The sequence below is a fragment of the Homo sapiens genome, chromosome 1 (genome assembly GCF_000001405.40).
Source record: "Homo sapiens chromosome 1, GRCh38.p14 Primary Assembly".
NCBI classification, from domain to species: domain Eukaryota; kingdom Metazoa; phylum Chordata; class Mammalia; order Primates; family Hominidae; genus Homo; species Homo sapiens.
The window spans coordinates 22,117,313-22,131,167 of NC_000001.11; the positions used below are offsets into that span (position 1 = coordinate 22,117,313).

General features: G+C 55.3%; 1 protein-coding gene across 3 annotated transcripts in view, besides 5 other annotated features; it reads right to left on the reverse strand.

Annotated features, from left to right (window-relative positions):
• Positions 1–13,855, reverse strand: part of WNT4 (Wnt family member 4) — a 25,785-nt gene continuing 11,930 nt past the window's right edge. For 2 of the 3 annotated variants that reach the window (NM_030761.5, XM_011541597.3), the window contains exons 2-5: positions 12,304–12,539; positions 4,133–4,264; positions 3,899–4,041; positions 1–3,205 (exon numbers count right to left, since the gene is read on the reverse strand). In NM_030761.5, the coding sequence (NP_110388.2) occupies positions 2,738–3,205; positions 3,899–4,041; positions 4,133–4,264; positions 12,304–12,539 (979 nt within the window). In that variant the 3' untranslated portion in view covers positions 1–2,737. Of the gene's footprint in view, positions 3,206–3,898; positions 4,042–4,132; positions 4,265–9,720; positions 10,170–12,303; positions 12,540–13,855 lie in introns of those variants that run through there. The other variant, XM_011541599.2, reaches the window with a different exon arrangement.
• Positions 756–805: an enhancer, noted in NCBI's record as "active region_349". NCBI's record gives its function as "activates an Ori minimal core promoter by ATAC-STARR-seq in GM12878 lymphoblastoid cells {active_cell/tissue: GM12878}" and the evidence as "EXISTENCE:reporter gene assay evidence [ECO:0000049][PMID:35858748]".
• Positions 1,821–1,990: a silencer, noted in NCBI's record as "silent region_398". NCBI's record gives its function as "represses an Ori minimal core promoter by ATAC-STARR-seq in GM12878 lymphoblastoid cells {active_cell/tissue: GM12878}" and the evidence as "EXISTENCE:reporter gene assay evidence [ECO:0000049][PMID:35858748]".
• Positions 2,968–3,585: an enhancer, noted in NCBI's record as "H3K27ac-H3K4me1 hESC enhancer chr1:22446773-22447390 (GRCh37/hg19 assembly coordinates)". NCBI's record gives its function as "activates a minimal SCP1, AML or CMV promoter by ChIP-STARR-seq in naive H9 embryonic stem cells {active_cell/tissue: H9 hESC(naive)}" and the evidence as "EXISTENCE:reporter gene assay evidence [ECO:0000049][PMID:30033119]".
• Positions 4,205–4,822: an enhancer, noted in NCBI's record as "NANOG-H3K27ac-H3K4me1 hESC enhancer chr1:22448010-22448627 (GRCh37/hg19 assembly coordinates)". NCBI's record gives its function as "activates a minimal SCP1, AML or CMV promoter by ChIP-STARR-seq in naive H9 embryonic stem cells {active_cell/tissue: H9 hESC(naive)}" and the evidence as "EXISTENCE:reporter gene assay evidence [ECO:0000049][PMID:30033119]".
• Positions 5,562–5,731: an enhancer, noted in NCBI's record as "experimental_5420 CRE fragment used in MPRA reporter constructs". NCBI's record gives its function as "activates a minimal promoter by MPRAs in K562 erythroleukemia cells, with activity observed for both the introgressed and non-introgressed 1:22449452 variant alleles {active_cell/tissue: K562}" and the evidence as "EXISTENCE:reporter gene assay evidence [ECO:0000049][PMID:34662402]".

A 13,855-nucleotide genomic window follows, 5' to 3' on the forward strand; every position in this document is an offset into this window, starting at 1 on the left:
TAAAGAAATAATTGTTTTATCGTGCATCAGACTATGTCATGGGACGTCACAATGGCAAAGAGCCTAGTATAAAAATTGGAGGATGGGGTGGGGCAGCAGAGTGGGTTAGCAGCATCCAGAGCTGGGCTTTATCCAGCCCTAGGCCTCAGGGCATCACCTTTGCCTTGGGACGAGAGGAGAGTGGTTTGGGCAGGATGTGGACCCTCTGGCCAATTTCCAGGCCACGGTGAGGCCAAGAGGGGGTGGGCTATGTAAGGGCTGTGCCAGTTCCCCCTGGGACAGTTTGGAGCTGGGCATGTCCAAAGAAGCTCCTTTTCCTGTGGCTGTGGATTTCTTTGATCTCTGCAGCACTGGCGGTGGTTGGCCTGGGCAGTGGTTCCTAGAATTTGGTCTCATTAACCTAGGTCGCAACCTTCAGAACCCCAGGAAGATCAGCTTTAGGAACTCCCTGGCAGGTGAAAAGGGCAGTTCCCATCATACCAGCATCCAGCCTGGACCTACTGTTCCCTGGATGGGGAGAGTGGCTCAGCTCTTTCCTCTGGGAGGGGAGGGGTCCTCATTGTTCCCTCTTTCTGGGTCTAGCCTCTGCTAGTGAGGCATAGTATTTTTTTTGGGCTTAGTAGACAGCTGAACAGCCAGCCAGGGGAGCAGCGGACCCAGCTGGGCAGCTGTGGCGACAGTTGGATCAGCTTTCATCCACATCAGAGCTGGCCTGCCCCAAGATTATCAACCACATTTGAATGTGGCTCCAGCACCTCACTTGGTTTTGGCTTCCTCCTTGTATGGACATTGAGCAGAGATCTTGGCTGGGGGCCAAGGGTGTTGACCCTCTTTTCATGAGGGAGCCAACACTAGGAGGCACAAACCACAATGCCTGGAGAAGAGTTTCTGCAGGCTGGAGCCCATATTCCGAATCTCGGACGTTGAATTCAGCCACTGAACACAGGAGCCAGGAGCTTGGAGTCTGGGAACCCCAAGTGGGGGATCACAGAGCATAAAATCTCCGACCTGAAACTTAGAGCCCCAGTGTGGGGGCAGTCTGGAAAGTGGGCTTACAGCAACTTCCTCTGGTGATTGGGAGCCCATCTGAGAAGCAGATGGGTCAAGGGCAAGGTCTTGATCCATGCATGTCCTTCTCACAAGCCTGGGCGGGGCTCGTGATGGTTTGGCGGTTGTACAGGGTCAGGCCCAGGTTGCTGGTGCTGTCTCTTGGGAAATCTTGCAGTACCTATGGTACCTGGGACCCCAGGGACTCGGATGTGCTGGGGAGGGGTGCACCACACTGCTGAGACCTCACTGTCAGCCTTCCAGCTGTTCACATCTTTCCTCAGAGCCTGTTCTGCCCTTAGGAACCATGTGGGCTCCAGCTCAGCCTGTGGTCTCTGGCTCCTGCTGCTTCCCTGCCCCTTTTCGTCCAGCCAGAACCCCTGCCCCAGGCTCAGACCCAAGAAGACCTGCAGTTTCTCTACCTTTGGGTACAAGAACCAAGGAGGAGGCTTGGCTGGAGGACTCTTCTGGCCCTGCCTGTCCATCCAGCTTGCTGTGAGAGGTCTGGGGAGCACTGCCGTCTCTGATGTCAGATGGGCATTAGCATTCTTGGTTTGTCTGCTTCCCAGGACTGTTGTGGCCATCAAGTGAGATGGCCTGTACAGGGCCTAGAACACGTAGTATTTGCTCAATAAATTGTGTTGAGTAAGATAATGGGAGAGGACTTTATTGCACAGCCCTTTCCTCCCTCCCTCTCGCAGGTGTGTGTGTGTGTGTTTTCCTTTTTCAGTTTCATGGAGGAACAGTGCTGTGAAAGGTGACTCAGGGGCATGACTGCAAAGGCACAGCCCTTTCCTCCCTCTCTCTCGCAGGTGTGTGTGTGTGTCCGTGTGTGTGTGTGTGTGTGTGTGTGTGTGTGTGTGTGTGTGTTTCAGTTTCATGGAGGAACAGCGCTGTGAAAGGTGACTCGGGCATGACTGCAAAGGCACAGCCGGGATCCCTGGTCCAGGATGGCAGCCTATATGCCTGCCTAGGTGGGTCTGGGGAGTGGTTAAGTTTCCTCTTCCCAGGGGCAGGCTGGGGCAGGCTGGGTTCTAGGGTGGGACTTCAGTCGTCTCTTGCTCTCATCTCCCTCTTCTTGCCTGGAAGGACCCACAGATATCGAACCTCTAGCTGTCCATGTAAGGGCTGAAATGAACCTGGTGCCCTTGACCTGGTATCTGCTTGTTCCCTTTCTCAGGGCATTTGAGAGACATGGCTTCTAGGCTCAAGCTGCCAGGAGTCCATGTGTATGTGTGCTGGAGAGTTAAGAGTTCTTTTTTCCAGAGGGTGTGACTTCCATCAAGTCGGTACCTATTTTCCCTGCCATAAGGCCCCCTCTTCCCCGATGACACGGTCAGTAGCCATGTGGTGGTAATACTCCTTGTTACTCCACCTTAGGTCTGCAAGTAGAAAAACGGACACAGATAACAACTGAGTGGTCAGTGGCAGCCACATGCGGGCAGCCAGCGGCACGAGCAAGGTCCCTTTGGTCAGTGGCAGCCACAAAGGCCCAGGCTTTGGGGAGGCCCTGGTTGGTGCCCTTGGGGTTGCCTGCCTGGTTTCGGCAATAAATAACATGAGGACCCAAAAACCAAACCAGAACAAAAAATACAACCAGTATCTCTTGGGGTAGGTGGTGGGAGACTGTTTAAATTATCGGCCTTCCCTGGGCCACTAGGTGGTTGCCGGCGCAGGGCTAGGCAGGCGGTCATCGGCACGTGTGCAACTCCACGAGCCGCTGGCACTGCCGGCACTTGACGAAGCAGCACCAGTGGAATTTGCAGCTGCAGCGTTCAGCCAGCTCCACCTGCGCCGTGTGGAAGCCGCGGCCACAGCACAGCAGCTCACAGCCGTCGATGGCCTTGGACGTCTTGTTGCATGTGCGGCCCCTCGTGCCCAGCACGCCGCTGCGCATGTCCTGCTCACAGAAGTCGGGGCTAGGCTCCAAGTACACCAGGTCCTCATCTGTGTGCGGCTTGAACTGTGCGTTGCGTGGCACCAGTGCCCTGGAGGAGCCCACGCGGCGTGGCTCCACCTCAGTGGCACCATCAAACTTCTCCTTCAGTGCGTGACCCACCTGGCGGAAGGGCGGCACGGCTCGCCAGCACGTCTTTACCTCACAGGAGCCTGACACCCCGTGGCACTTGCATTCCACCCGCATGTGTGTCAGGATGGCCTGTGGGAGAGGGTGGGGGAGAGGGGCCATCAGGAGATGGCAAGGGAAGGCAGGGGAGGGCCGCGGAGGCTGACAGCCGAGCATCGGGGTCCCTGGGGCTGACGCTGCAGTCAGATTTGCCGTTGTGCCTCCTCTTAGGAATTACGCGGTACTGGGCTGCTAAGCAGTGTTGTGACAGGTGAACGAGGTACTGTCCCTGCACTTGGGGCACTGGGAGTTGAAGAAAGAGAAGCACTAAGGGTGGTGTCCTATCAACAGTGAGTGACAGGTGTGGGGTGGGGAGAACACTGCTGCATTTAACCTCCACGGGAACCTTGGGGAGTAGGCATCCAGAAGGCAGGTGGCATTACAGTTAGGCACATGATCTTCGTGGTGATGGAGAGAAAGGTTCACATCTAGCTCTGCTGCTCTTTTGGGGAATGAGTGTGTGTGAGAGACAGGGATGGACACATATATGTATGTGTGTGGGGGGGCCATATGTATGGAGGGGGCCACTTACCCCATTCTGTAACGCCTGCCTGCCTGTCTGTACCCCCCTCTGGCCTGTCCTGAACCCCACTGGCCTACAGAAGGTGCCAGGTGCTGGTGAGAGCCTGCACAAATGTTTTCTGAGTGGCCGTGTGGGTGGGAGAGTCTGGGGCCCTGCCCATGCTATCCCTACCCCGCTCTTGGTGGGGGGTAGTGCCACACTACCTTCCTGCCGGCCTCATTGTTGTGGAGGTTCATGAGGGCTCTGCTGGACGAGGCCCCCTTGCTTCTCTCCCGCACATCCACAAACGACTGTGAGAAGGCCACACCGTAGGCGATGTTGTCAGAGCATCCTGACCACTGGAAGCCTGGGGTGTGGTGGGCACAGAAAGGGCTGCGGTGAGTGAGGGCCAGGGCCAAGCCCCCTGCCCTCCCACTCTGACCACCTCCTGCACCTACCCTGTGGGCTGACCCCATGCACTGTCCTGTCACAGCCGCACTTCTCCAGCTCCCCACTGCTGCACGCCCGCGTCACTGCAAAGGCCACACCTGCCGAAGAGATGGCGTACACGAAGGCCGCCTCCCGAGTCCCTGTGGGAGGCAGAGGGAGGGCAGAGCTGGGTCCCAGGGCTCCTCCCTGCACCCTCCTTTGTAGAGGGGGAGGGGCATATGGAGCCTCCTGCTTGCTGGAGGCCAGGAGGGAGCAAGACAGGCAGAAATCATGTGCTAGGCACCCCACGGCGCTTGTTCTTATCACACCAATAGCTGAATCTGCTTCCTTTACCAGGCGTGGCTTAGGGCTTTTCAAACGTGCAGATGCTGTCATCCTCACAACCACCCCAGGAGGCAAGTACTGTTACCATCTCCATTTAAACAGAGGCTCGGGGGCTTTTCCGAGGTCACTGAGCCAGCAGACAGTCTGGCTTCAGAGCTTGTGTTCCCAGCTCCTGTGGGAAGCCGTTCTCACTACCCCCACCAGAAGGTTCGTGAAGGTTTATGGAAGACCAGACAGGCTGGGAGAGGTGAACTGGCTTGCCAAGGCTGCAGGTAGAAAGAAGGCCTGGACTATAAACTCAGGTCTGGCCTGTTCCCCAGCTGGCCCCACTGGGCTCTGAGGAGTTGCCCTTCCTTATGTATGATCTTGCCCCTTCCTCTGAGACTGGGCCTGTTTCTGAAAATGTCTTGCTTCCTTAGAGTAAACCGTAATAACAACAGCTTCTACGTAACCCCCAACCCCTACTGTGGCTAATTAGGAGATACCTATTATGCATAAGCCCTCCACCACTGGGGGCTTCATTGTCCCCCATTTTATAGACGGAGAAATGGAGGATCAGCCGGGGAAGGGATTTGGTCCCAGTCACCCAGCCAGAGAGCCATGGAACCAAGACTCAAGCACACGTCTGTCTGCCTCTGCCTCATGACTTCTCAGTGGTTCTATTTTGGTGCCCGCCCTCGTCCCTCGCCTGAATGGATGTTTTTATCCTCCTAAGAACTGTGCCTCGGGGGTGTAGCTGTTGTGGACTCTCTTTCTGGAGGTGGGGGGCAGTGTGTGAGCTGGAGTATGCATGGCCGGCTGGGTGTGTGACCAGACAGCAGACCATGCTCCCCTCCTGGGCCCTGTGAGGAGGGCCTCTGTACGCTGTGACTGTCCTTCTGTCTCTTGCCTGAGTGTCTGTGTCCGCAGGAGCGGAGGGGGCAGGCTTTGGCCCCATGGTTGGCAATTACCTCTGTGACATCCAGGCCTGTGCTCTCGGCTGCCCCAGGGAGCAGTCACCGTGGTCAGATGGAAACAATCACCTTCTCTGTGCCCCTGTCTGTGGACAGAGGCAGTAGAGGCTGAGCACTGGGGTGGGAGGCAGCTCAGTCCCCGACCACTCAGGACGCCCTGTTCTTGGTTCGGCCCTTGAGCTGGCGATAGTGCCCACCACCCACTCTCCACTGCCCACTCTCCACCCTGGCTTGGCCATTTTGGGTCAGCACTGGGGGGCTTGGCTGGAGCAATGGCGCCTCGACAGCCTGAGACAGAGTCTTCTCCGAGTTAATCGAGGTTAATAGCAGGATCATGTTGGTTGGTTTTATGCTGTGGCCGCCCAAAGAGAGACGACTTCAGTTTCTGGTATTTCTGGTATTTCCAGGCCTGAACCAGCACAAATCTTTGCCCCAAAGACCAAGGGGGAAGGGAAGTCAAAGCAGGAGACGGGGCTGGCTGATGAGACTGGCGGGTCGCCTCAGCCTGGCCTCGCGTGGTCCTTCCTCCTCTGCTGGTCTTGGCTCCCAGGCCACCCCGGCCCAACCCAAGCCCCAGGCTGATCTCCCCTGTGTACTGGTGGTCCCTGGGGTGCAGGGCCACCAGGGAGGTTGCTCAGAGAGACCTCTGCCTCATTCCCCAAACCAACATTCATCCACCGAGACTCCAGGTTCATTTTGCCCTGGCTTTGGGAACAAGAACACTGGAGTTTTCTCAGCTCGGGAGTGGTCCTGAAGGAAGAGATTCTGGAAGGAAGATAATAATAACGAGCTAAAGCTTACAGACAGCTTACCATGTGCTGGGCTCTGTCTAAGGACTTCACATGTGTTATATACTTGTCCCAACAACCCTATGAAGTAGATACTTTTCATCCTTCTTTGACAGATGAGGAAACTGAGGCACTGAGTGGTAAAGCAACTTGTCCAACAATACCCAGCCAGGAAGTGGTGGAGCTAGAATTTGAGCCCAGGCAGCCAGACTCCAGAGCTTTTAAACCTGACATTATTCTGCCTCCCAGAGGCTCTGAGCCCCTGGGAATACACATGCAGTTGATTCCACCTCCCACATATGGAGCCAAGAAGGGCTTCCTTAGGTCCACCCCAAACTTCACATGCTGTAGGACAAGCCCAATTCCCTCTGTGGGTTCTTTACTGGGGGATGGTGAACAGTTGGCCTCTGGGCTCAGCACAGGAGGCCCCAGAAAGCCTGGAAGATGTGGGCAAGCATCTGTGCCCCTAAAGCTGATGGCGGCTCCTCCAGCCTTCTCTACCTGGTTCTGGTGTCCAGCCCTTGGACTCCAGGGTGGTGGCCCTTCCCAGCTCCTCATCTCTGCCCAGGTTCCCAGGCTGGAGCCCTGCTCGCTCGAGGAGGACCTGGCAGAGCACTCTCCTCAGGGGCCACTCAGATATAGAGAAAGAACTGTAGTCCACCTGGGCAGGTAGCAGCGGGGGGGTTCCCCAGCAAGGTGGCAGATCCTGCTCCCTGGCCAGGGGCTTTCCAAGGGACGAAGGCAATCCTCGCCTTGTCCTTTCCTGGGCCAGGGGCCAGGGTAAGGCAGAACTCTACGGTGCCTTCTTCCGTTTTCACACAGCCATTTGCCCCTTCTCACACCCAGCTCCTTTCTTCCTGCTGTTTCTTCTTCCCAGAGCACCCCTGGCCTCTGACGTCACAGGCCTAAATACTGTGTGTCCTCTGGGTCCAGCCTCAATGCCACCTTTTCCAAGGTGCTAAGGCTGCCTGGGGCTGGGAATTCAGTTAACCCGTAAATCCACTAACAGCCACTCTTTCTGAGGGCTTGCTATGTGCTGTCTAAGGCTCATGACAGCCTTAGCAATGAGCTCTCTACAGCTCTGCTCTGTGGAAGAAAAGGTGAGGCTTGGTGGCTTGTCCTGGGTTCCTCAGGCAGTAAATGGCCAAGTGGGGATTAGAACCAAGGCTTGTCGGACTCCAGGCCTGTGCTTTTCAGAGCGTATCACTTGTGAAGTCTTTCCCAGATACAGGAGAAGGAAGGATATTCAAGCAGTTAGGAGTGTTTGGAGAACTGGCTAAGGCTGAGTTGGACTGGCAATGAAGCCATAGGCTTGCTGATCCCCTGGGTGCCAGGGCACGTATCTTGTCGGAGGTGAGGCCAGCTGGAGTCCTGGGGAGGTGGGGCAGGACAGGCACTGTCTCCCAGGATAACCTTATCCCCCATTCTCCAACCTCTATCCCTGCCCAGTCTGCCTTTCCAGATTCCTTTACTCTCTTGGATGTGCAGAAACCTACCTTTTCTTGAAACCACCTCCAGGAAGCCCCTTTGGATTTAAGAGACAATATAGGATCAGGGAAAGAGCAAAGGTTTCAGAGCCAAAGCTGTATTGGATTCTTACTAGCAGTGTGACCTTTCTTTCTGAGCCTTCCTGAGTTGAGTGTTCTCGACTCTAACATGGGGATAATAATGCCACCCCGGCAGGCCAGACCTCGCACCTCTCTGCCTCCCTGCCCCATGCGGTCAGAATCAGGATGTCCCCCAGTTTTATCTTCTAATTGTCTTGTGTGTGTCTGGCCACTGCAGCCTCAAGGCATTCCTAGTCTGGGAATGTCTCGGGGGTAACCCCTCCCCAGATCTTCTGTAACTTATAGCATCGAAAGGCTGGGTCACAGAGGTAACCCAGGAGAAAATAATGTTCTCCCCATCACTGGGTCCGGTGTGATGCCAATATTGAGGATAAAGGTGAGAGCACAGGTTCTAGTGAGGGACGCCCAAGACCACAGAGCATTTGCTTCTTAGGTCCAGGTGGTGCCACAGTCAGGAAGGTGTCCTAGATGGTTTAGACATGGGGAATGGACAGACAGGCCTGGGTTTGGACCCTCACTTTGCTATGGCCAGGGCACCACATGGCCTCCCAGTCACAGCAGTCAGACCCTGAAGGGGCCTCAGAATTCATCAAGTCCTTCATCTCAGGACAGGGACTTGCTCAAGGTCGCAGAACGAGACACGGTAGAGGCAGAGGAGGCCCGGTGCTGTCTACAAATGGAGGACAGCAGGAGAAGGGAAGTTTTTATTGCCTTTCCTGCCTCTCCCACCTGCCCAGGCACACCTTTGCCAGGCGCTATGGCCTCCCTCCCACCCTCACACCCTTTGGTTCATTCGATATTTGTTGGTTTATTTGATATTTATCAGTTCAGTATTTAACGATCCATTCAATATTTATCAGTTACCTATTATGTGCAGGTCCTGCTCATTTAATATTTTAATATTTGTTGATTACCTATTATGTGCAGGTCCTGTTCTAGGGCTTGGGATTAAGTAGTGACTAAAATACAGAGGCCATCCCTCATCTAGCCCTGAATACCTGCTCAGCCAAGAACCACCGATCCCCGCCCTCCCGGCTGTGCCAGATACCATCTTTACCAAATTTTTGGTAGATTTTCAGCCTAGAACACACAGTTTTGCCCCGAATTACACACCTGCCTCATCATTCATCATCATTTCACTGTCCATCTTGCCTCCAGGCCAGGAGCAGGGGAGGCTGTGAGACCTGGGGCAGTGCTGGCAGTGGGAGAGCCCCCCCAGCCCTGAGCCGTGTGGGGGTCAGTTAGCTCTTCCTAGGCATCATCTCTCTGATCCTCACGGGAATCCTAGGAGGCTGGTCCTGGAGTGGTCAAGGAGGACACTGGGACTTAGAGAGGGCACGGACCTTCCCCAGAATCTCCCAGCCAAGAGTTGGCAGGCCCAGGGCTGGGGATGTTACCACCCTCTGCTTGCCAAGTCTCCTTTCTCAGCTGTGATGTGGGAGAACAGCACTGTAAACTCAGTGTCACGAGGATGACCTGACGTGATAGCACACCACAGGCCCTCAGCAAATGGGGGCTCCTCTCCTCTCAGACCCCGGGGTGGGTCTGGTCTGGCCTGCTAGCTTTGTCTTCCATGTCTGACGCCACAACCCAGCCAGGCCGCTCATGTATGCAGGCTCCGGCCATGCCCCCAGTCCTGAGAGCATGTGAGTGAGGCCCGCTTACACAGGCTACTGCAGATGACAGCAGCTGGTGACGGGAGGCGTGTCTACACGAAGTGCTTCCCATGCATGAAATCACTGTATCTTCGTGACAGCCTCATGAGGTGGGCCTATGTGTGGCCTTGTTGCCAGGCAAGGACACAGATGCTCAGGGGAGTGCAGGCACTTGTCCCAGGTCATCCTCGGCCTCACCCTTCCTCCATCTGCCTCACCAGCCAATCCCTGCACCTTCTGAGAGCAGTGCTTCCCTCTCAGACCTCAGGAGGGACAATCCCCTTTTCCTCTTAGTCAGTGGAGACAAATTAAGAAGTTTCCAAGAGGAATTTTACTAGGGAAGAAAACCAAAAACGTAAAAGGGAGGAGTTTGATGAGTGGGCAGAGCTCAGCCTCCTTCTCCAGGTGTGACTGGCACCTGCCGAGTGTGACTGGCTTAGTCTCGGCACCTTGACATGTCCCTCTCCAAAGGGGATTGGACGTTCGACTCCACCAGTCAGACTTTAGTCCAGAGCAGGTACCACCCAGGCCTAGTAGGAATCTCAGTGTCCCTCAGATGCTGAGCCGGTGTGGGTGCCCCCTTGGTTCCTCCCCCAAAGGTAAGGAGGGCTTCTCATGGGGTCCTGAGTACCCACGATGGCTTCAGGCCAGCATTGCCCCAGGCTACCTCCTTCCTTGCGCCTTTGAGTCCTCTCCCCTGACCTGCTTTCTGTCAGTAGATGACATCCACTGTCTCCTCCATGCCAGGCTTTGCCACCTGCCAAGAAACAGGTCAATGAGCCATGAACCTTGCCTTCAAAGGGCCCGAGTCCTAGTGATGGGGGAGTGGAGTCGGGTGAGGAGATACGCATTTCAATCTAAAAGGTGTGCTAGAAGCAGTGTGAACACAAATGGCTTAGACAAAAATGTGTGTCTATATATAGAAATAGAGAATAACAAAGCAAATGGGTGAAAATGTAAGCTGTTGGTGAATCAAGTGAAAAGGATATAGGAATTACTTGTCCTACTTTTGCAACTCTTCTGTAAGTTTGAAATTATGATTTTAAAAAAATCCCACAGCAAGAACAAAGAGCTTTGGAGCCCAGAGGGAAGAGCTGAGAAGGTGTCGTGGAGGAGGGAACTGCTGAGCCCTCAAGAAGGGGGCTTGGGTGTTTGCGGTGGAGGACATTGCATATGCAAAGGGAGGAGTGAGAGAGGGTGACAGCCTGCCATATGAAACCCTGCCAATCTATCCACCAATCTGTCCAATACACACCTACTGTGTCCAAGGGCTTCCCAGGCTCATGGGCTGCTGTTTGAGGCTGTTTCTGGGGCTCCATCAACCAGGCAGCCCTGTTATCCTGGGAGATCCTCCACTGCCAGGCTGCTCACTGGGTCTCTGTTGCTTTTCCAGAGCAGCGATGTTCAGCAATGCCAAGCGAGATCATGCCTTTTTGGCCCCTGCCAGCTCTTAGGAGAATGACTTCCAAATTTCTATCACAGTTGGTTTCTAGCAACATCCAAATGGTTTGCTACAAGCCCAGCAGCCCCGGCCGTCCAGGACCACAGGTGTCAGGAGAAGGGTTGGCCCAGGCAACCCCTTCCTGCTGCCTGAACAAGTCAAAGGGCCTTGTCGATGGATAGTGGCTCGGAAGTGCCAGTTTCATGCTCAGGAAGTAGAAAAAGGGGCCCATGGTTTAGAGTACTTCCTTGAGGGCGGGAGCTTGGCCGGCGACCTCTGGAGGAGACTTCCAGTTCCATAGACCGTTCTCTATGCCCTGGTCCCCCTGTCTTTGGCTTAATGCCATCTCACATTTCTGGTCTCAGCTGAGGACCAATCTCCTCGGAAAAGCCTTCCCTGAGCATCCCAGCCCCAGCCAGGGGTGGTGTCCACCCTGTGCTTCCACAGGCTCCCCTGGCCCATTGATCACAGCGTCTCCTCATCGAGGATAAGACCACAGACCTGGGAGCGGGACGGCCTGGGGTTGAGTCCCGGCTCTACCACTTTCTACTTTTTTTTTCTTTTTTTTTTTTGAGACGGAGTCTAGCTCTGTCTCCCAGGCTGGAGTGCAGTGGCACGATCTCAGCTCACTGCAAGCTCCGCCTCCTGGGTTCACACCATTCTCCTGCCTCAGCCTCCCCAGCAGCTGGGACTACAGGCGCCCGCCACCACGCCCGGCTAATTTTTTTGTATTTTTAGTAGAGACGGGGTTTCACTGTGTTACCCAGGATGGTGTCGATCTCCTGACCTCATGATCCGCCCGCCTGGGCCTCCGAAAGTGCTGGGATTACAGGCATGAGCTGCCGCGCCCAGCTGGCTCTGCCACTTTCTAGTTCTGTGACCTTGGGCAAGTTACTTAACCTCCATGTGCCTGTTTCTGTGCATCCCTGTATCTCAGGGCTGGCTATGCTGGAGGTGCACAATAGGGTTGTTCAGGTGTACCAAGGAATGGGATGGGCCCAGATACTGGAGGCCAAGTGCTGGGGTGGGAAGAGCAGCGGGCCAGGGGTCCAGAGCCTCGGGTCTGAGCCCTGACTGCTTCTCTTCCTCTGAGGAACCTTGGGCAAGTCAGTGGTGTCCCCTGCCTGAGCCTCAGTTTCTTCCTTAATTACCTGCTTACGCTTCCAGGAGGCCAGCAGTGGAAACACGGTGCTCTTTTGAGTGCTGCCTCAACACAGAGCTGCCGCCTCTTCTGATGGCCCCCATCCCACACATACATCCCACCTGGATCATCCTCCTGTCCTGGGGCCCCCAACGCTCTGCATCCTTTATGCCCTCACTTGGGTCCTGTGCTGGTTTTGCTTCAGAAATGACCTGCAATAGTCCCGTTGCTCACGAGCGTCTCATTTCCTGCTGGGCCCATGCCCTGGCACCGCAGGCTCCCCTGCAGCCCCGCACGCCCTTCCCTCACCTTGCGTCACCACCTTGCCGAAGACGGGCAAGGAGTCGAGTGTGGAGCAGTTCCAGCGCCGGTTCCGGAACTGGTACTGGCACTCCTCAATGGCCAGCTGGGCACCGCGGCGCACCGAGTCCATGACTTCCAGGTTCCGCTTGCACATCTGCACCTGCCTCTGGATCAGGCCCTTGAGTTTCTCGCACGTCTCCTCCTCTGAGATGCTCCCCACCGACGACAGCTTGGCCAGGTACCTGGGGAGAGGGTGACACGTGATGCAGAGCCCACCTCCTCATCTTTCCTGGCCCCGGACCAGGCCTGAGCTCCAGCCCGGGTCTCTGGGAACTGACTCGTCCCAGTGACTGGGCCTGGCTGCCGACTTCTCTCTGGATCCAGTTACAGGCCCTCTTGCCCGGCTCTAGGGGCACCAAGGGAGTGGAAATGCTGTCTTCTGCAAAAAGCCTCTATCTCAAGTTCAGCAAAGCAGGTGGCAGCAGTGGGAGGGAAGCTCATCGAGCCCCTACGGGATCCCTCCCTGCCCTGGCAGCCCCCGTGCCACTGTCTGTGCCAGGACGTCACCCCAGACCTGGCTATGGGATCCCACTGTTCCCTGCCGAGATGCCTTCTAGCTAGGAGGCTGGAGCCGCTGTCTGCCCAGGGTCTCTCTTCCCTGTCCTAGGCAGGAACCCCAGTGATCCTTGGCTGATCTTCTGGCCACAAGACCAAGATCCTCACTGCCAGCCACATCCTAGGACCACCAGATGGAGACCAGTGTCATTGCTGCCACCCTTTGGAGGTGGGACAATGAGGGCAGTGATGGGCTAGAGGTCTAGGGATGGTCAGGTTATGGGTGGTGGTGGCGAGAGTGGGCTGTGTGGACGCTTCAAAAGCCAAGTGCAGCATGCTCTCCCTCCCCCAGGGGCTTGCCCAGCACACTGAGTCTCCCAAGGGTTGGGGATTTTCTAGGGGTTGGCTGTGAAGAAGCTGTTGCATCTTATAAAGGAAGCTGCACAAATTTCTTGTTGAAGAAGGATAAAGGGAAGGTAACTGCTCTTTGGGCCTCAGTTTCCTCATCTGTAGTAAGAGAAGGGAACACCGGTTCTGTCTGAGTGGAGGAACTGCTACCTGGAGCAAGAGGGATCTGTGTGAGAGATGGCCTGACACTGGCCCGAGGCAATGAGGCAGGAAGTCGCCATTTGTTTGCTGAATGAGGGAATGAATGAATGGTGACCAAATAGAAAAGCACACAGAAAGTCCTACTTATGGGAATTCTTTCTGATGATAAGAAGAAACTTATGGAAGTTCCATCAAACTTCTATGGAACTTGGGACTGGGCTAAGTACTTTACATTATTGCGTTTAATCCTCTCAGAAAGCCAACCAGCTGCCATTTAAAAGAGGAGGAAACTGAGGCACAGACATTTTAAGTAATTTACCTCATGTGCAGGGCTACACAGCCAGTGAGGTTGAGCAGGACTTGAACCTGGCATTTGCCTGGCTTCACAGCCTTGGGCAGAGACAGTATTCTCTGTGTGGCTCAAAGACTAGAATTGACACTGTGGCCAGAAGCT